At 50.0% G+C, this 21,880-nt stretch overlaps 1 protein-coding gene across 1 annotated transcript in view; it reads left to right on the top strand.

The window, feature by feature from the left end:
• The window catches only part of LOC112268076 (translation initiation factor IF-2-like), a 154,152-nt gene that overhangs the window by 324 nt on the left and 131,948 nt on the right, over positions 1–21,880 (top strand). The window contains exons 2-3 of the mRNA XM_047427952.1: positions 1,328–1,365; positions 9,811–10,355. Of these exons, the coding sequence (XP_047283908.1) occupies positions 1,328–1,365; positions 9,811–10,355 (583 nt within the window). The remainder of the gene's footprint in view (positions 1–1,327; positions 1,366–9,810; positions 10,356–21,880) is intronic.

Raw genomic sequence — 21,880 nt, 5'->3', positions numbered from 1 at the left:
TTGCAGGAGACCCGGAATTTCTCAAATAAACTTGTAAAAGAGGAACAAAGTTGGAAGACTCACAAAAAAAAAATACATACATACATACATATATATATATATATATATATATATATATATATATATATATATATATGAAAAGTTGTGTTTTCGTTCGGTTGTAAATGTTTAGTAATTTCTATTGAGATTTTTCATTTAACTCATGAAAGGATATTTTTAATTTTCCTAATGCATGCTTGTGTTTAGCTATCTTCTTGCTGTTGACTTCTAATTTTGTTGCATTATGGTCAGGAAAATGTGGTCTGGACAATGTCAATCGTATAGTGGATTTTGTTGAGACTTCTTTATGGCCTAATATGTGGCCAGTTGGTTTTTTTTGTTTGTTTGTTTTTTTGCTTTTTTTTTGGTTTTTTTTGCAAATTTGCCACATGTTGTTAAAAGGAATGTGGATTATTTGTTTTTTTTAGGAGAGTTTTTATTTTTAAATAGATAAGTTTCTCAGTGCAATTGAAATCTAGCTTCAATTAACAATATGCTAGATCTCTCAAACCTTAGGATGTTAGTCAGTGTTAACAATAGACTGCTGCTGAGATGAATAAACCCTGAACTCTCAGTGGGTTAGCACCCATAGCATAGTCTGGTGCAGGGCAGGGGTTCTCCTTGGGGGCCGTTGTCCAACAGTGATTCAGAGATTCTGGAGGTTTCCATCTTTTAATTCTGCCATCTCAGAGTTTTTCACTTGTAGCCATATGGATAGGAAGAGAGGGAACATAGCTCACACTTGCCTTTGATAACCTTGGCCTGAAGGGATTTCTTACATTCCTATTGGTGGAAATGCAGTCACATGGTTCCAAACTAACTGCAAGTAAGGCTGGGAAATGTAGTCTTTCTGCATGTCCAGGAAGAGGAATGGTGTGAACACAGCATTGTCTTTGACACACTAAGCATGTGCTAAAGAGTTCTTCCTCTTATAGGAGGTATGTCTGTCCTGTGCAACTTTCTCAGTTTTTGCTTAGATAGTTTCAGGCAATGTTGTTTGGTGCATTCAGCTTGATGATTGTTATGTCCTCTTGGCAAAGTAGTCAAGATTCCCATCAGTTTGAATGAAAGCGTTTTACAGATAGGTCAGGAAATGTTAATACTTTAAAAGGCCCTTCTATTCCTCCACTCTACAGATAAGAACAACAGAGTCCTAGAGAGAGGAGGTCATGGGTCTCACTCATGAGTGGCAGAATTGAAACCAACATGGCAGTAACTTTGCCTTTCCCCCATCATGTTGTTCTCCCTCTATCTTCACTCTGCTGATTTCTTCACTTGCTCCATGCAGACCTCCCAGTGCCAAGTCTATAAACGTGTCTGGAATTGGTGGGTTCTTGGTCTCACTGACTTCAAGAATGGAGCCGCAGACCCTCCTGGTGAGTGTTACAGTTCTTAAAGGTGGCGTGTCTGGAGTTTGTTCCTTCTGATGTTCAGATATGTTCGAAGCTTCTTCCTTCTGGTGGGGTTCGTGGTCTCGCTGGCTCAGGAGTGAAGCTGCAGACCTTCACGGTGAGTGTTACAGCTCTTAAGGCTGCATGTCTGGAGTTGTTCACTTCTCCCGGTGGGTTTATGGTCTTGCTGGCTTCAGAAGTGAAGCTGCAGACCTTCTCGGTGAGTGTTACAGCTCATAAAGGCAGTGTGGACCCAAACAGTGAGCAGCAACAAGATTTATTGCAAAGATCAAAAGAACAAAGCTTCCACAGTGTGGAAGGGGACCCCAGCCGGTTGCCACTGCTGGCTCGGGCAGCCTGCTTTTGTTCTCTTACCTGGCCCCATCCACATCCTGCTGATTGGTCCATTTTACAGAGAGCCTGAGTGGTCTGTTTGGACAGGGCACTGATTCGTGTCTTTACAATCCCTGAGCTCCCCACACAAAGGCTCCCCACGTCCCCACTAGATTAGCTAGATACAGAGTGTCCACACAAAGGTTCTCCAAGTCCCCACCATAGTAGCTAGATACAGAGTGTCGATTGGTGCATTCACAAACCCTGAGCTAGACACAGGGTGCTGATTGGTGTGTTTACAAACCTTGAGCTAGATACAGAGTGCAGATTGGTGTATTTACAATCCCTTAGCTAGACATAAATTTTCTCCAAGTCCCCAACAGACTCAGGAGCCCAGCTGGCTTCACCCAGTGGATTCTGCACAGGAGCTGCAGGTGGAGCTGCCTGCCAGTTCCTCTCTGTGCACCCACACTCCTCAGCCCTTGGGTGGTCGATGGGACTGGGCGCCGTGGAGCAGGGGGCGGTGCTCGTCGGGGAGGCTCGGGCCGCACAGGAGCCCATGGAGGGGGGAGGCTCAGGAATGGCAGGCTGCAGGTCCCAAGCCCTGCCCCACATGGAGGCAGCTAAGGCCCAGCGAGAAGCCGAGCACAGCAGCTGCTGGCCCAGTTGCTAAGCTCCTCACTGCCCGGGGCTGGCAGGGCCATCCGGCAGCTCCTAGTGCGGGGCCACCAAGCCCACCCCCACCCAGAACTCCAGCCGGCAGGCAAGTGCTGGGGTCAGCCCCCGTTTTAGCTCATGCCTCTCCCTCCACACCTCCCTGCAAGCTGAGGGAGCCAGCTCCGACCTTGGCCAGCCCAGAAAGGGGCTCCCACCATGCAGCCATGGGCTGAAGGGCTCCTCCAGTGCCACCAAAGTGGGAGCCCAGGCAGAGGAGGCACTGAGAGTGAGCGAGGGCTGTGAGGGCTGCCAGCACACTGTCACCTCTCATAAGGAGTGATTAATCTGAGCTTCTCCAGAAAGTCCATTCCTGGTAGGCACTGGGAATAAGAAATCTCAGAGTATAAAATAGCATCAAGTGGTAGCACTTTTGTGAATGGCTCCCAAATTAGATCCCTTACCTTTTTTTTTTTCATGAAGCACAGTTGCACAAAACACGCTTAACCTGAGATGAAGCACATATTAGAGAAAGGTTCTCTCTATAGAATTATGTATTACTCGAATGAGCATTAAAAAGAGGAGATGGGACATGCTCTCTCTAGCTATTATTACCTCCACTATAGAGTTGACATACACAAGCTCATTATTGCATTATGTTTTATTCAACAAAATAACTTTAATGTTGAAGCTTAAATTGAATTTGTTAAAACATCTTTGTCTCCAGCATAATGTGCCTCAAGTGTCTTCTTGGTGCCTGAATTTTCTCCAGAATTATAGTGCTGAAGCTATGGAAATGGTGAAATTATATGCAATCTGCAAAACAATGTGGCTATAATGTGGTAATTGGCCTTCCGCATAATTAAAGGAACATTTCCTCATCAGAGCTGTTCCATCAGAGACCCAAAGGCTATCGTTGTACAAATCACCCACTTAGGAAAACCTTTATTCCCAGTAGCCTATAAAAATCTGGTTATGCAAACAGATTTGCTTATTCAGTAACATTAATGGCTTCTCATAGTTAAAAAGTCATCAATGTGATTGACCTATACCCTGTTTCCTCTGTGACCAAGTGTCATTTTTATTTTGACAGTTAGGAGCCTTTTGACTCTTTCACAGCTGGCATGAAGGCACAGGGAGGGAAATCTCAAAAACCAACAACCTGCGTATTCCCAGCCTATTAATCAATAGAAAATCACTCAACTGGATTAGGGTCTTGTACCTGGCAGAAAGGCTCTTATGGACATTGGAATTGGATTTTTACACTTGATATGACACCTCCTTGAGTCAGATCAGATTCGTGTTTGATAGACTCTTGCCGAAAAATTGCTCCAGGGTCTGTGCAGTAGCTAAAGCCTTTTTGTTGTTGTTGTTGTTTTAAAAGCAGCATTAAATGTTTTCATGAAGACCTTCCCAGCAGTGATTTTATTGGGAATATGGTCTTTAGCTCTGGTCCTGAATAACTCACACTGAGGAAACCTCCAACAAGTGTTGTATCGGAAGATATCTGATGGATGGTTGGTTTTAATAACAAATCTCTTCCCTTTTTCTGTCCCCTGTGTTCTATTCTCCTTTCTCTACACATTATTCTGGGAGGATTCACCTATTCCCAAAGTCCTTTCCTCTTTATTTCCATTCCAGAGCTCTCTGTATAACTCCAGGCTGATGAATCCAACTGCCCAGTTGTTATCTCCACTTGGCTGTCTGTCTTGCATTGACCTCATCTTACCTTTCCTCTCCTGATTTCCTCTTCTGCCTGGGCTCACCCCGTCAGATTCACACCACCATCCACCCAGCTTCCAAAACACCTGGGCCTCATCCTTCATTCCTCCCTCTTTCTCAGTCAAGTTAGTCTACTGTCTCCTCTCCATCCTCACTGCCACAGCCTTGGTCCAGCCAACCATCTTGTCTCACTTGGTGTATTGCAACCTCCTACCTGGTCTACTCACCTCCCACTCTCCTCCAGCCAGACTGCTCTTTTTATAGCACAAAGTGGATCATTACTCCCCTGCCTAAAAACATCTACTGTCTCCTTTTGTCTACAGGATAAACCTGACAAAGAGCCTTTAAGATTTGGCTCCAACTTACCTCTATATTAGTCACTTTTTACAATTATATGAACATCTCTCAGCTTCTCACCCTCTCACGTCTCGATTTTTGCACATGCTCTTCCCTCTGCTGGGAATGATCTTCCCCACCTCTCCTATCAACCTGGCTAATTCCTACCATTTTCTAGTCTTCAACTGAGGAGTCCTGTGGTGGAGAAGGACTTCCGACCACCTGATAGAAATTGCATGCCCAACCATCTCCTGGCTTTTTTTTTTTTTGATGGAGTCTCGCTCTGGCCATCCAGCCTGGAGTGCAGTGGCACGATCTTGGCTCACTGCAATCTCTGCCTCCCGGGTTCAAGCAATTCTCCCACCTCAGCCTTCTGAGTATCTGGAATTACAGGTGCCCACCACCACACCCGGCTAATTTTTTTGTATTTTTAGTAAAGACAGGATTTCACCATGTTGGCCAGGCTGTTTTCGAACTCCTGACCTCAAGTGATCCACCCACCTTGGCCTCCCAAAGTGCTGGGATTACAGGCATGAACAACTGCACCTGGCCGATTGGGTGCCCCTTCTTTGTGCTCCCATTGCCCCAGGCATACTGTCACCATAACTCCTACCATTGTGAGTTGAAAATGATTTCTTTTTTTGCTTTTTATTTCTCTCATTAAATGCAAAGCTCATTGAAAAGAGGATGTTGGTTGTTCACTGTTGTACTCCTAACCTTTGACTCGGTGTCCTGAGGTCGGCTCTAGAGCTGTGCACACATGTTCAGACATTGGAGCACATCTTGTCTAGCACCTCTTTTGAGGTGGCTTGGAGAAAATTCAGTAGGTACTTCCCCTAGGATGAAACAGAAGCTTCACCTAAATCAGGAGTTCTTCAACTTCAGCCTGCATTAGAATCCTCTGAGAGCTTGTTAAAAATACAGTCTCCTAGAGCCCACTCTTCAAGAGTCAGTGAGTTGCTTCATCATCAAAATATATACAGAATCCAGAGGGTCTTCAGCGCCAGCCTGGTCTGAGCCACTGTGGACTCCCGCCTGCAGAATCTCACTGCTGGTCTCCTTGCTTCTGCTCTTACCTTCTTATCATCCATTCAAGTAGCCATAGTGATCCTTTTTTAAAAATTTTTAAAATTTTTTTGAGATGAAGTCTCACTCTATTGCCCAGGCTGGAGTGCAGTGGTGCTATCTCGGTTCATTGCAGCCTCTACCTCCTGGGCTCAAGCCATCCTCCCACCTCAGCCTCCTAGGTAGCTGGGACCACAGGCATGCACCACCACACCTGGCTGATTTTTGTATTTTTTTGTAAAGACAGGGTCTTTCTATGTTGCTCAGGCTAGTCTTGAACTTCTGTGTGCGCCCACCTCAGCCTCCTGCATTTTTAGGAAGCCCCTCTTGTAGGGATTTTGATGCAGAGGCCTGGGTGCCTCATGTCTCCTCCCATCTCTCTCTGTCTTTCTGTCTCTGTCTCTGTCTCTGTCTATCTCTCTCTCTTTCTCTTTGCCTTATAGCTGCCCTGGGGACTAGACTCTGCCTTAGGCATCCCTCTGACTCCTGTTTCCTTTTACACTGAGGCAGCTTTAAGTCGCACCTTGATCTGAAGACTTGGGCTTCTGTTCCTATTGCTTGCTTTTGTTGGAAGGGCCGTGCAGCTTCTTGACAAATTGCAAAGGTGCCCACGAGTTTCCAAGTCCCCAACAACCAACCAGATGACAAACAAGGATGCAGCCCACGGCTGGGGAGACAGATTTCATGTCCACACAGAGACTCCAAGATGCTGAACTGAAATCCACCCCGAAACCTGTTTTCTCTCTCATTTAAGTTCAATGTCACCTGGGGGCTTGCAGGGCAGGGCTGGTGACCATTCACAGGGCAAAGATGCTTTGAAATGTCAACTGAGAATGGTGTGGTGGTTGACAGATGGCACATCAGGGCATAGATTAACATGGAAAGAGAAACTCACCCCTTGGGGGTAGTGTGTGAGGCTGGCAGCCACACAGATGGTTTTTCCTGCGAGCTCTTGCATAGATGCAAACAGCCAGGAGGTTTTGCTTTCTGAGCCTGAGTGGAACAATGTTCCTCCCTGCACATTGCCGCTCTGCAGCAAATGTTTATTCCTGTTGCATTGATTAAAAGTGCTTACCAGGCCGGGGGCGGTGGCTCAAGCCTGTAATCCCAGCACTTTGGGAGGCCGAGGCGGGTGGATCACGAGGTCAGGAAATTGAGGCCATCATGGCTAACACGGTGAAACCCCGTCTCTACTAAAAATACAAAAAATTAGCCTGGCATGGTGGCGGGTGCCTGTAGTCCCAGCTACTTGGGAGGCTGAGGCAGGAGAACGGCATGAACCTGGGAGGCAGAGCTTGCAGTGAGCCGAGATTGCGCCACTGCACTCCAGCCTTGATGACAGAGCAAGACTCCGTCTCAAAAAAAAAAAGTGCTTACTAAAAGGGTTTGAGGGGAGTGGTGACAGTGTGAGTTATGTCTCTGCCGGCTGCCAGTGGAGCCAGCCGCTCTGCACAGCTGTGCAAGGGTGTTTTGAAAAGTGGCTCAGCCAGCCAGGAGTGACTGGGTGTAAGTGTTGCTGCCACAACATCTTGTAGCCTGATTGGGGCCGTATTTGCAGAACCCCTAAACCACTACATTTGTTCAGGCTTAAAAATAAGCTTGCTTTTTTGTTTGTTTGTTTGTTTTGGTTTGTTTTATGAGATGGAGTCTTGTTCTGTCGCCGGGTTGGAATGCACTGGCATGATCTCGGTCCACTGCAACCTCTGCCTCCTGGGTTCAAGTGATTCTCTTGCCTCAGGCTCCCGAGTAGCTGGGACTACAGGCATGTGCCATCATGGCCAGCTAATTTTTGAATTTTTAGCAGATATGGGGCTTCACCATGTTGACCAGGATGGTCCGATCTCTTGACCTCGTGATCTGCCCACCTCGGCCTCCCAAAGTCCTGGGATTACAGGTGTGAGCCACCGTGCCTGGCCAAACATAAACTTACTTTCTTACCTCTTCTGCTGAACTCTATTTGCTTCTTTTCCCAAAAGTCTTTATCCAAAAGAGTTTTAGCAACAAAGTTACCCAATGCCCTTCCCTAGTCTCTCCTTGCAACTGGCTCTCAGCAGGTGGTAGGAGGAAATCCTTGACAGAACCAATTTACATGACTGTTTGGAGGACTCTGGCTAGCCCCAGAAGGTGTTTGCATTTTTAAATTGGTTACTAGTGTCAGAATGTTTCATGAGTAAGAGCACAGCCTCTCTGTTGGATGCCCTGAATTTGAATCTCAGCAAGGCCACTTTGTATATAACCAGAGGATGGATTTGGGGACCCAATGGATTTACCATGACATGAACTTGCACCAACATTCACCTGACCTCCAAAATGCCTATTCTGACTGGTAGACCCTAGTCTCGCCCTAGTGCCAGTTCAGAGCCTGTGTCCAGTGATCCTGCACAGATCTCATTAGTTCCTTTTCCCCTGTTCAGTCATCCTGGTAAAAGGCTGTGTATTCCTTTGGGGGCAGGCTGGGAGAAAAATTGACAGTATAAATTTTTGGCAGTGGAGCAGAGTCCTTTCTGGAGGGGACCTGGCTTCCCATTCAGACAAGGGACTCCGGGTCTGTGAACTGGCTTATGTCTGGGAATTGACTGGGGACTGTGACTCTGTTGTTATGATTCAGATTAGACTTCTACTCACCTGACCTAGAACTCTTCTGCAAACACAGATCAAGTAAAAATGTGGCAGGCTTCTTACCTATTTCACTTCTAGGAATGCCACGATCAGCTGGCACCATAGGTCTCTGTGAGTCAGGCTGTTCTGGTTGCAGCTTTGACTCTGCTGTCTTTTATGGTAACTGCGTCCACCTTGCCTTTGGGGATTGAGTGCTGCAATCACTTGGCCCCGGCCCCTGTAGTGTGCCTATGTCACTTACCCTCTTTATACCTCAGTCTCCTCCTCTGTAAAATGGGCATCCTAATAGCACCCACCCCCAGGGCTGCTGTGAGGTATAGATGGATTAGCATATTGAAAGTAATAGAAGAGAGTCCAAAGCCCATGTGTCGTTATCAGAATTATTTCATGACAGGGGAGAGCTGGAGGAGAGAGGAAGGTGCTGAGCAGACCCATGTGCTCTCCCACCAGTGTTTCCTGAGCACCTACTATGTGCTGCCCACTGTGAGAGCTGTTAGGGTTGAAATAGGGAGCACAGCAGGGTAGGGTCCGCCATCAGGAGCTTAGTGGAGAGACCATTGTGCAACATGGTTCCAGTGCTTGGGGTGGAGAAGCTCAGGGAGTTCAGGGGCCTAGGATCCTGGGCAGAATCATGGAAAGGACACAGCCTCCCCAGCCTCTCCTGCCTCCACTGCCTCCCTGGCCTCCTCTGCTTCCCTGGCCTCTCCTGCCTTCCTGGCTTCCCCTTCCACCCCAGCATCCCCAGTCTCCCCTGTCTCTCCTGCTTTTGAGGTGGGCCAGGAGCTGCTGGTGCTCAGCCTGTCCTGGACTCTTGGTGTAGCACCTCAATGTCCAGAAAATACCCCCGAGTTCAGCTCATCACACAGCCAAGGAAGGAGCTCCACACTGACACTAAGAGTGCATCCTGGGCTCATTCATCAGGGCGTGCCTCCAGAATATTTCTCCACGTCTCCTCCCTTTGCCCACCTGCATTGTCTCTGTGCCTCAGCCCCGGCTAGGGGCCTGCAAGGATCCCCTATCTCCTCTGCCCCTGCACGGCTGGGTCCCAGGCAATCTGTCTGCCCACCACACCTTTCTCCTCTTGCCCACCACGCTCCAGCCCCACAGTCCTCTTTCTGCTTCTTTCCCAGCCTCTGGGCTTTTGCACACGCTGTTCCCTCTGCCTGAACAACCTCCACTGGGCTGAGAACAACTCTCTGAGACGTCTCTCAGCTGTTGCTTCCTTTGGAACAGCCGCTGTTGCTGTCAATCTCCCAGCGCCAAGACATGCTGAGCCTCCTGTCTTTTTCAGTTCCCATGCCCCCAGCACTTCTTCTTGGCCTCCTTTTGCCCAATTGACAATGTCCATTCTCAATGCCTTCTCACCCAGGGCTGAGCCCTACTGTGTGAAGGCCATGCCTGTCATGTTCACCACAATATCCCCTCCCCCATCACCACGCCTGGTCCACAGAGATGCTCAAAAAAGATCTGTTGGTAGGCAACGCGAAGGTGCATTCATGTCATCCTGCAGGCGGAATTCTCCACGAATTTTGAGCAGCCTCGGTTTTCCCACCACCTCCAAATCATGCAAGACACAGGGTAAGAGCAAAGACAAGGTGGCTGTGGCTGATGTCCACCCTCTCGGGGCGTCCCTTCTCTCCTCCTTGGGCAGGGAGACCATCGGGGTGCAACCTGGTTGGGGCGGGGAGGAGGTGCAGGGCCTGGCCAGAGCGGGCATGGCCGCAGGCAGGGGACAGCGACTGCTTGGGCCAGGGCAGGCGAGCTCAGCGCAGGCCAGGGCCCGGCGTGTCCGCGGTGGGCGCGAGCGGCCAGCAGAGGGCGCCAGAGAGCAACGAGCGGCCCGCGGAGGAGCCCACGCCCGCCCCGATGCCTAGCTCCGCGCCGCGCGGACCCACCGAGCCCGCGCTCAGACGCCCCAGCTCCGCCGACAGGCCGCTCGCGCCGGGTCCTTCCTCTTCCCCAGGTGCAGGCAGAGCCCCCGGAGCCATGGCCAGCCCTTCCGGCAGCTCCAAAGCCACTGGCAAGCCCCGAGGCAGGGATGGCCGGCCCAGGAGAGAGGAGGACGACGTCACTCCCGAAGAGAAGAGGCTGCGGCTGTTGCTGGAGGAGGGAAGCGCACAGCCCGATGACGGGGAGGACGCACCGCGGCCAGGCAGGAAGGAGACCGGCACCCAGACAGGTGGCGACGGCAGAGGAGTAAGTGACGCGGGCGCGGGGGTCCGGGGGTGCCGGGGGTGCCGGGGACGCGGGGTAGGGGCGGCGGGAGGCTCCGTGGCCGGCCCCGGGTTGAAGTTGGTAACTGAGCGACAACTCCGGCGGGCGCGGAGTGACAGCTCGCGACGGCCTCCGAGACGCCAGCTGCCCCTTCTCGGCTGTGTGGCTTCGACTTCCTGATTCTCCCACGACGTCCCTGGACTAGAGACCCGCTGGACTCTGCGGCTAGCCAAAAGGGGAGGGGGAGCCCCGCGTCCTGGGGGCCCCTAGCAGGGGAAGGGGCGGGGGTTGCGCTGAGCGTCCTGTCTGGGGCATCTGTCTGGGACTCTGTCAGTGCCTCTCACCTGGCGAGGGGCTTGTGGCGGGGGTAGGGGGGAAGTCCCTGGCGCCAGGCTTGGCCAAGCCCTGCTCTGCTGGGCTGCGGGCTGGCGGTGCTCACCCAGCTCCTCACCTGCCCCGCATCTTCCTGTTTTTCTTCCCTTTCTGGTTGGGCAGCGAGAGTTGAGAGGAGGCAGATGGCTTACATCCCAGAAATCGCTCTCCTCTTTCCATCCCTACAGAGAGGGACAGAGAGGGAAAGTTCCTTGCATCCCCCGGGACGCTGTCCCTGTGAGCTCCCGGTGTCCTGCACACGTGAGCCCCTGAGTTACCGGGCCTGTGTGTGTGGGATGGGGCTCCGTGGCCAGCCTGGCCTCCTGGAGTTCACTTTCTGCTTTCCTACACCAACTCTTCCTGTGTGGCTTTGCTGGCCTTCCACTGAGGAGGCACATGGGTTTGGAGGGCAGATGAGGGCCCACTGGAGAGCTGTACCCCTCAGTGAGGGCCGCCACCTTGATGGTTTTTGATGGATAATGGGGTTGACCTCTTTGTTCTTTCCACATGTTTTTATGTTTGACCATTTGCTCAGCTGAGCTTGTCTTAATAATTGGATTCGTGGTTAATGAGCCCCACATGGGCGAGAGGGCGGCCTTCATTCGGAACCCATTTAGGCAGCACGGGCAGCCCTCCTCGCCGTGGGCGGCATCAGAGCCCCCCTGCCCAGTCTTGGGGTTGCTCCTGGATGCCGTCTGGGAGGCTTGCTCATGGTGACATCCTTATCTCCCCGTGCACGTTACCGCATTCAGAGCTTGGGTCACCTGGACACTGAACTCAGGCGAATTTTCTCTGAGATCCTGGGAGAAGGAGGACAGTTCTCTGGAAGGTTTTCCAGGGCCGATCACGGAAAGGATGAGAAGGGAGAGGTCCTGGTCGGGGACACAATTACGATGGCAGTGTAACGCCGGGAAACTTTATTGCATGAAGTCCCTCTCACTCCCTCTACCTCCTTCTTTTACGTGGACTCTGCCAAAGACCAGGATACCAGAATGCAGTGGAGTGACCAAGTGTAGTGGGACCTTGGGAACCTGAGTCTGGAGCCAGGCGGCTGGGGTTTGCATCCTGGTTCTGCCCCTCCTTAGCTGGCTGACATGGCACAAGCCACTTACCCTCTCTGAGCCTTACTGTCTTCAGTGGCAAATGGATCTGTCAACAGGCCTCGTTGCCTGGGGTTGTTACTGCTGAGATTAAGGGAAGCTCGTCCATAGAAGCACTTAGCGTTGTGCCTGGCACATAGTGTATGGTGGATAAATGGGACTTAGGACTAAAACTCATGCCTTGGTGTGTTTTTGCAGTGATGTTTTGTTCTGGGGTGCATCACAAGAGACAAGGTTCTTGGCTGGGCGTGGTGGCTCAAGCCAATAATCCCAGCACTTTGAGAGGCTGAAAGGGGAGGATTGCTTGAGCCCAGGAGTTTAAGACCAGCTGGGCAACATGGTGAAGCCTCATATCTACCAAAAAAAAAAAAAGCCAGTTATGGTGGTGTGTGCCTGTAGTCCCAAGTACTTGGGAGGCTGAGGTGGGAGGATTGCTAGAGTCTGGAAGGTCCGGCTGCAGTGAGCTGTGATCATGCCACTGCACTCCAGCCTAGTTGACAAAGTGAGACCGTTTCAAGGAAAAGAGAGAGAGACAGACAGACCCACAAGAGTCTTAAGCCAGAATCTCCATGTTAAAATGCTTTCTGGAGGCTAAAATGATGATATGTTGATAATGAAATATTTAAAAGGCAGAAACCCCACTGAATTGTTTGGTCCACGGAGGGAAATGGGAATCGCATGACCTGAAGGATGATGGAGGAACTGAACAGAAACCATCCTTGTTTCCTGAATCTGAACATGGCACCCTCTTTTCACGGTGTCTGTATCTGCTCAGTCTGGTGGCCCCTTGAAAAGAGGGAATCTTGATTTTCAAACTTAAAATTTGGCCCAAAGCCCACTGCTGCCCACAATGCCCGCCAGACCCATTCCTCTTCCCTTTTAGTTTCTATGGGAATACTCTCTTTGAAGAACCCATGAGGCAGTGTCAGGCTGGTGTGAGAATCAGCAGTGATTTATTTGAGGAGGAGAGTCCATTTCTTCACTCACAGGCCATGTCTGAGTGGATCAAGAAGAACAGAGTGCCCTTTTATGAGATTTTGTCTGCGTAGACCATTAGCTTGGTAAAAACCATCCTCGTTCTTTAATAGCAGATTATTTTGGACTTTGCAAGAAGCAGCATGGGCATTCAGATGCTTTTAAGGATAAAATGTTCTTTCTCATCACCAGGCCTGGTGCTCTGGATGGCTGAGGTTTTAATGTGACTGGATGTCCCTTGGAGTGGCTCCCAGGCTGAGATCTCGCGGTTGGGTGGCAAGGGGTTGCTTTATTCGGTGGTGGCTAGAGGATGTTTTAGCAGGTAAATCGGGACCCCAGGAGCCCCTGAGTGCCAAGTCCTGCTGCAGGGCATGTGTTTATGGTGGGGAGGTGGGGGGGTGGAGGGTGGGGGGCATTGATTTCCTGCCAATATCAGAAGTTTCTCAGGCTTCTTGTGTATCCATAAACACCCACCCCATTGAGAAGGCCTAGAAAACCTGGCCCTCCCCAAGCCTTTATTGACCGCTTGTGAATGATCCCAGGGTGTGTCTGACCAACAGCTCTTCCTGGAGGGAGAGAAAAGTCTCTCCTAGGTATTTGGTTATCACCCTCAACCACTTGCTGAGCCTTCCTCAAGACCAGGCACCTCAGCAGAGATTTCAGGGTTGTCAGGCGGAACCAAGCATTCAAGGGTAATAACTCATTGGAGTCCCTGAAATCCCTGATGGACGCACCAGGTGAAAGCATCCAGGGTTGAAACCAGATGAGGAAGGTTATTGTCAGCCTGGGGCTCCTGTAGAGGTGCATCCGTGTTGCAGGGATTTTCCTTCTTGCTGAGGAGAAACCTGGGTTTCTCAGCTTTGGCACAGTCACAACACTTGGGGTTAGACCATTCGTGGTGCTGGTCGTGGGGCCGTCCTGTGTATTGTAGGATGGTTAGTAGCATCTGTGGCCTCCATCCTCTAGGTACCATTCTACCCTCCCAGCTATGGCTACCCTAGATGTCTCCAGACGGTTTCAAATATCATGGAGCAAGGGAGTAGTACTTGAGCAAAACCACCCCAGTTGACAGCCATTGGTCTACACTTGTGGAAATGTTTGAGGGTGAGAGTGTCAAGCTTGGGTCCCTGCTGTACCCTTTATGAGCAATGCGGTCTTGGAAAATTAATACTACTCCAGGGGCCTCAGTTTTCTCATCTATAAAATGGAGATAAATGAGATACACTTTCATAGGAAGGTTATATGGGATTTACTGAGATAATAAGACAGTACATGGAAAATGCTGGGCATAGAATTTATTTATTTTATTTTTTTTAAGACAGAGTCTTACTCTGTTGCCCAGGCTGGAGTGCAGTGGCATGATCTCTGCTCACTGCAACCTCCACCTCCTGGGCTCAAGTGATTCTCCTGCCTCAGCCTCCCGAGTAGGTGGGATTACAGGTGCCCACCACCACACCTGGCTAATTTTTGTATTTTTAGTAGAGATGGGGTTTCACCACATTGGCCAGGCTGGTCTCAAACTCCTGACCTAAGGTGATCCGCCTGCCTCGGCCTCCCAATGTGCTGAGATCACAGGTGTGAGCCACCACGCTGGGCTGGGCATAGCATTGTAACACAGACAAAGCACAAAATACTTGGGCAATATCTTTTTACATTTGGCTTGTCTAGACTCCATCCTCCATCCCCTCATGCGCTGGTACGGTGCAGACCAGAATATCACCCACCTAGACTGCAGAGTGGATTTGGGTGGCATCTTGGCTTTCTGCACAAGACTTGCCTGTTCCCCACCACATCCCTCTGGTTCTCAGGGTCCAGGATTCCAGGAGGCAGGGATGTGGGCAGGCAGGGCAGGTGGCCCACCCAGTTCACTCCCACGCTGGGGACCTGCAGAGCCGGCTCTCCAAGACAGGGTGTTTGGACCAACATCTGGGTTTCTGGATTTCCATTTGAGCACAGCTGGACTACACAGGCTGAAGCTCTCTCTGCTGAGATATAGATATTTCCCTGGTGATGATCTTTCAAGCTGACATGAAGACATGGCCACCCGCTGGAATGTGGTGTGTCTGCTGTGGCGCTCTTGTAATTTGTGAGGCAGGCTCCTGAGGAATGCAGTGCGTAAGTGGGAAATGGTGGGAAGTCCTCTCGTCCCTCCCGGCCGAAAGTGCTGCCTGCGCAGGTTGGTGGACAGTCCTTTGAGCAGGAAGAAGACACGGAGCACATTCCTGTTAGCTATGACAGAGAGGGGCAAGGTACACACTGGACATTTCAAGCCCCTGCAGAGAAGCAAGTCTTATTGTGCTGGGAGTACTTGTGGAGTGGGGGCTGTGTCACCCTGGGCTTTAATTATTTCAGGAACATTTAACCGCAGGGCTGGCAGGCTGGATCTTGATATGTGTTTCTCAGTTGGAAAGACTTTGGACCATAGGGAAATGTCTTCTCAATTCTTTTAATTTCATTAAGGTGGTCATTTTTCTTCTTGTGGCCTCTGGAATGTGACACAGAACTCAAGGGACAGGAAGGAGATGAGTTGGAGGCTGGGACAGGGGTCCCTGCCAGGGATGCTGGTGACTCACATGACGGTGTTGATGTGTGGAGTCTGGTGCCTGGTTTGGGGAATGTTTGTGAGATATGTTCCAAAGCACTGATGGACCTATCAGGTACTGGAGGTGAATGGTCAAGTCTGATCTCAGGGCTGGCAGTGTCAGGCAAGGACAGGAAGTTGACGTTGGACTCACTGGCTGAGGTTGCTTGGGACCCAGGGGGCAATGTGTGCCAGGACTGATGGGTCTGGGGCTAGGAAGGCAGGTTTGGGCTGGAGACTCAGGCTTGGGAGGCATCCCAGGTAGACAGTGGTTGAGGCTGTGGAAATGACTGTGATTGCCTGGGATGAGAGTGGAGACAGACAAGATGGGGGTTTTGCTCTAAGCCTGGGGAACCCACCTCCCAGGTTCAAGGGATTCTCCTGCCTCAGCCTCCCAAGTAGCTGGGAATGCAGGTACATGCCACCATACCTGACTAATTTTTGTACTTTTAGTAGAGATGAGGTTTGGCCAGGCTGGTCTCAAACTCCTGACCTCAAGTGATCGGCCCACCTTGGCCTCCAAAGTGCGGGATTATAGGCATAAGCCACCGTGCCTGACCATTTTTAAATATTAATTTTTATGAAATATTTTCACGCACATTTTACTGTACATTGGAAAAGTCAATCATGATTTGAAAACTTTATCAATATCCAATCAAATGTCAATTAACCATTTAATTGTGGATGGGTAAGGAGACTATTTTGACCAAAACATGTTAGAACAATTACCACTTATAGAAATAATCTATGTTTTAATGTTTTAGTTGAATTAAAGAATCTTTTATATTCTGTCCAGGTGCAGTGGCTCACACCTGTAATCCCAGCACTTTGGGAGGCCGAGGCTGGTGGATCACCTAAGGTCAGGAGTTCGAGACCAGCCTGGCCAACATGGCAAAACTGTCTCTACCAAAAATACAGAAATTAGCCAGGTGTGATTGCACACACCTGTAATCCCAGCTACTTGGGAGACTGAGGCAGGAGAATCGTTTGAACCTGGGAGACAGAGGTTGCAGTCAGCCGAGATCGCACCACTGCACTTCAGCCGGCCTGGGTGACAGAGCGAGACTCTGTTTCAAAAATAAATAAATAAATAAAATAGAATTCTGAATTTTATTTTTAATAATTATTTTTGTAAAGAGAATGTCTTGTTTTTTGGAGTTGTTGAATTGACAAAAATTACGTACAAGAGGGTATACAACATGATGTGATTGAAGTATGTATACATTATGAAATGGCTAAATCAAGCTAAATAACATATCACCTCCCAGACTTATTTTTTTGTGGTGAGAACATTTAAAAATCTGCTCTCTTAGTGATTTCCAAGTGTATGATATGTCGTTATTAACTATAGGTACCATGTTGTCCCATGGATATCCTGAACTTATTCTTCTTCTCTAAAAATGACATTCTGTGTCCTTTGGCATCTGCCCACTTCCCCACCCTGGCAACCATCATTCTACTCTGCTTCTGTGAATTCAACTTTTTTCTTTTCTTCTTCTTTCTTTTTTTTTGAGACAATCTCATTCTATTGCCCAGGCTGTAGTGCAGGGTTGTGATCTTGGCTTACCGCAGCCTTGACCTCCCAAGCTCAATCAATCCTCCCAACTCGGACTCCTGAGTATCTGGAAGTACAGGCATGCACCACCACGCTCCACTAATTTTTGTATTTTTTTGTAGAGTTGGGGTCTTGCTATGTTATACAGGCTGGTCTCGAACTCCTGGGCTCAAGCAATCTGCCAGCCTCAGCCTCCCAAAATGCTGGGATTACAGGCATGAGCCACCATGCCTGGCTGAGTTTAACTTTTTTAGATTCCACATATAAGTGAGATCATGTGGTATATGTCGTTCTGTGCTTGGCTTATGTCACTTAACATAATATCCTCCAGGCTCATCTATGTTGTCTCAAATGGCAGCATTTCCTTCTTTTTGAAGGCTGAATAGTATTCCATCATGTACATACACCACATTGTTGCTGGAAGTGTAATGGAGGCCAGTTGGGGGAGGAGGGACAAAAGATTCACTCTAAGTCTAGATGCTCCAGCACCCACCCAGGGTGTGTGCAGGGAAGTGCAGGTTGCTCCTGGTCTTGCAAACTGTGGTTTGTGGGACTCCAAAGCCCCTATCCTCCCACGATGCTTTCTGTCCTGTTATCACATTTCCTTGGAGGAGAACCCAGCCTTGGTGGAGAGACCTGCTCTGGCTTTGTCCCTCCGCATGAGATGGCAAAGGATGGTGCTGCTGGGAGACCCTCACGTCTGCGCACTGGGGGCTGCTTGCCTTCTCCATTCCTCCTTCAAGTATCTGAGCAGCTCCTGTGTGCCAGCTGCTGGTCTACGAGATGGATGGGTCCTTGGAGATCACGCTGTAGCAGAGGAGGCAGGCTGTAGCCCACAGGCCAGAACCAGCCCCCTGCCTGTTCATACAAATAAAGTTTTATTGGAACACAGCCACACCCATTTCAGTGCATATTGTCTTGTGGCTGCTTTCCTGCTACAATGGAGAGTTGAATAGTTGGGACAGAGACCTATGGCCTGCAAAGCTGAGCTATTTACCATCTGGCCCTCAAGAAAAAGGAAAAAAAATTTGCTGATCCTTGTACCCCGACAGTCTTAGGTTAAGAGGACTTTGTACCACCCTGACGTCCCAGGCGGCCATGAGTCCAGCCACCCTTGAAATGTACACAAGTCTGGGCTAGCGTGCTTTCTGATTTTTGTATGGGGAAGAGAAAGGAGGGAGGAAATGGCAACTTGTTGCCCTGTTCTAACATTTTCCTAAGATGGGTCTCCAGGCAAGGGCTTGGGATCTCACCTTGCACAGCTTACAAAACCCAGTGAGGCCAGCTGTCTTGGCGCTGCCACTCTGAGGGATGGAGCCCCCAGATTACTAGGAAGAGAGATAAAAGAATAGTTTCGGCGAGTACAAGAACTGGCGTTATTGAAATTAACATTTCCCCCAAGTTTTATAATGTCTAGGCATGCATATTTCAGTGTCTGCCTCAAAAGCTCATCCTAATAACCAGATGGTGCATTTAATTTCCTTTTTTTGTTCTCTGAGCAACATGCAGCTTCCTGCACAGCCCTCCTTGCAGGCAAGTGCGCTGAGGTGACAGTCCTCCTGACTGCCAGCACAGATCCCCAGGGCCTCTGAGAGCCCTGTATTCTGGGGGGCAGCTTTTCCCCCTTCTATTCAGCCCCAGCTGGAAGGGGGCAGGTTACCCACAGGGCTCCCGCCTTAGCTTAGCTCCTGCCTAAGCACGGGGCTCCTGCCTTAGCTTCTCTAGGGAGTCTGGCTCCCTGTGACCCTCTAGACCTCACCAGCTGAGGATCAGAGCCCCGGGGCAGGAGCCAGGGCCAGGGGGCATTGGGGGGTGGTTTGAGAGTGCAGATCTGGAGGGTGGAAGGGCAGGCCCAGGAAAAGCTGCTCGGGGGAGACTGCAAAGAGATGGCACAGTTAGAACAAGAGGGCCGGGCATGGTGGCTCACACCTGTAATCCCAGCACTTTGGGAGGCCGAGGTGGGCGGATCACCTGAGGCCAGGAGTTTGAGACCAGACTGGCCAACATGGTGAAAACCTGTCTCTACAAAAAATACAATAATTAGCCAGACGTGGTGACACTTATAATCCCAGCTACTCGGGAAGCTGAGCCACGAGAATTGCTTGAACCCGGAAGGTGGTGGTTGCAGTGAGCTGAGATTGTGCCACTGTACTCCAGCCTGGGCAACAGAGCCATATTCCATCTCAAAAAAAAAAAAAAAAAAAGAGGACAGGAGGAGGAGGGAAGAGAGGGGGCTGTGGGGCAGCAGCCAGGGCCTTAAAGGCACAGGAGAGGAAGCTTGGATTTCCAATTCCAAAGGACATGAAGACAAAGTCACACACCTTTATTTAACCTGCTCCAGGTGAGGCGGGGCTTTGTGTATTTTCCTTGTTTTCCTTTTCCTTGTGTTCAGGCTGTTGTAGAAACAGGTACACAGGGGCTCTGTGTAGCGCCCTGTCCTGGTGGCCTTCAGGAAGCATGGGTTGCCCTGGTTTCCTTGGCTTCGTGTCCCCCTTTCCTCCCGCCACCCCTGACTCTGCTCCCCACCTTGTCCCTCAGACCATCCTCCTGGAGGGGCCTGGCCAGGGCTTGTGTCCTTGCTAGTCTCTGGGGAGGAAGACTCTGTGGCTTGAAAGCCTGTCGGCTTAAGTTGCAAGGTGTAGGTGCCTGGGAGGGCACATGCACAGCCCTCTTGACTGATCCATTCATGTTTTTCTTTTTTGACTCTGTTCTATGTTGTCCTGATGGAGGGGTAAGCCCCTGCCTTCTGCCTTTCCTGCCTTGGACTCTTGCAATTGGGCCAGATGAGAGGGTCCATGTGGTCTGAGAATTCAAGCAATGCAGGCCAGGTGTGGTGGCTCACACCTGTAATCCCAGCACTTTTGGAGGCCAAGGTAGGCAGGCCAGGATTTCGAGACCAGGTGGCCAAAATAGTGAAACCCTGTCTCTACAAAAAATACAAAAGTTAGCCAGGCTTGGTGGTGCGTGCCTGCAATCCTAGTTATTTGGGAGGCTGAGCCAAGAGAATCACTTGAACCCAGAAGGAGCAGGTTGCAGTGAGGAGGAGGTTGCACTGAGGAGGAGGTTGCAGTGAGGAGGAGGTTGCAGTGAGCTGAGAATGTGTCCCTGGACTCCAGCCTGTGCAATAAAGCGAGACTATGTTTCCAAAAAAAATAAAAAAAATAAAAAAAAATAAAAAATTTATAGAGAAAACAAAACATAAAACTTCCTCTTGATTTGATTTTCTTGATCTTGCTTCTCAGAGGTAACACTGGGAAGGGTTGGGGTATACCTCTCCACACCTTTTTCTTTGGTTTCTTTTTATTTTTTATTCTATGTTCTGAGATACATGTGCTGAACGTGCAGGTTTGTTACATAGGTATACATGTGCCATAGAGGTTTACTGCACCTATCAACCCGTCATCTAGGTTTTAAGCCCCGCATGCATTAGGTATTTGTCCTAACACTCTCCCTCCCCTTGTCCCCCACCCCCGATGGGCCCTGGTGTGTGATATTCCCCTCCCTGTGTCCATGTGTTCTCATTGTTCAACTCCCACTTATGAGTGAGACCACGCAGAGTTTGGTTTTCTGTTCCTGTCCACACCTTTTCCCTCTCTGCACGCAAGCACATGTATTTGCACATAAGTGTTTATTGTAACCTTTAAAAAAAAATGGAATAATGCTATATTTATTCTTTGGAAAGCCTGCTTTTCAGGCAGCATGTCTTTGACATTGTCTCACGTTGGAACCTGGGTACCACCTTCTTCTCCCAGCAGTTATTCTGACGTGTGGATGCACCACGCTTCGTTTAACCAGCCCTGCACCGATACGTCTTTGGATGGTTTCCGCCCTTTCCCAATCACAGACGGTGTTCTGATGAATTTCCTCGCACACATCACTTGGTGCTCTGTGCGTGCATTTCTGTGAGATGTTCCTGGAGGTGGGCTGTCTAGGTCAGAGGGGGATCTGTGCTTAATTTGCATCCTGTGCAAAATTCCATCCAGTCATCCGGCTCCCCAAGGGCTCACATGGTACTGTCCTCTGTAGACATCATCTTCTGCAGATGATGGCACGACCGCCTCTCTTTCTTTTACTCACACCAGTCTGCACCCTGGTGTCCTGGGGTGTCCAGCCCCTACCTGCTTGTCTGCCCCCACCCCACAGTCCCCCCAGCCCCTGCTAACAGGGACTCTGGCTTCTGAGCTCTGGCAGACTGCCTCACTCTGGAGAAGTTTGCTTTCTCAAACAGTCCTGGCAATGTTACTGCAAATCTCGAGGCCTGCATTTGCCTTCTTCAGGCCTCAGTTTCCTCAAAAGTAAAATGGGGATAATGTGATGCTACTGTCTGCATCCTAGAGCTGCCATGAGGGTTCAGTGAGATCACTGTTGAGAGCACGTTCACAGCGCCGGCCTTGTGCGCAGTCAGCACGTGTGGGGCAGGGCCGTTGCTGATACGTGGTTGACTGTCATTGCTAGACTGTGGCTTTACCAGGGGCATTGTCTTTAGTGCAGAGCCCAGAGCCACCCCTAGTACCTGCTGTGTTTATAGAGTGATTGAGTGTCAGGGTCAGAGACTGGGGCAATGGCAGCAGAAACACAGGAAAGAAGTGGGGCTTCTAATAGGTCCTGGACCAGTGGCCCTTGAGATCAAGCCTTCTTGCCAAGGTCTGGGGCTGTGCTGTGTGTTCTAGGCCCGAGACTGGAAGCTAGGCCTGGCTGCAGCCCCGACTGAGCTGGGGAAGTGCAGGTCAGCATCCTGCTTCATTAGGACACCTCCAAGCCCAGCTTAGACGTGGATGCCAGGTGACCCTCTGTTTACTCTGAGCCCAGACAGAGGACAGGGAAGTGTGCAAGGGTGGGGACATTCATCACAGCCCTTGACTCTGTAAGGCATATGGGTTTGTGCACGTGTGTGATCATGGCCGTGGCTTCTCTGTGAGTTTCA

This window comes from Homo sapiens, chromosome 11, assembly GCF_000001405.40.
Source record: "Homo sapiens chromosome 11, GRCh38.p14 Primary Assembly".
Lineage (NCBI taxonomy): Eukaryota > Metazoa > Chordata > Mammalia > Primates > Hominidae > Homo > Homo sapiens.
Note: the sequence above shows the minus strand (reverse complement) of the source record. Positions and strands in the feature narration are given on the sequence as shown.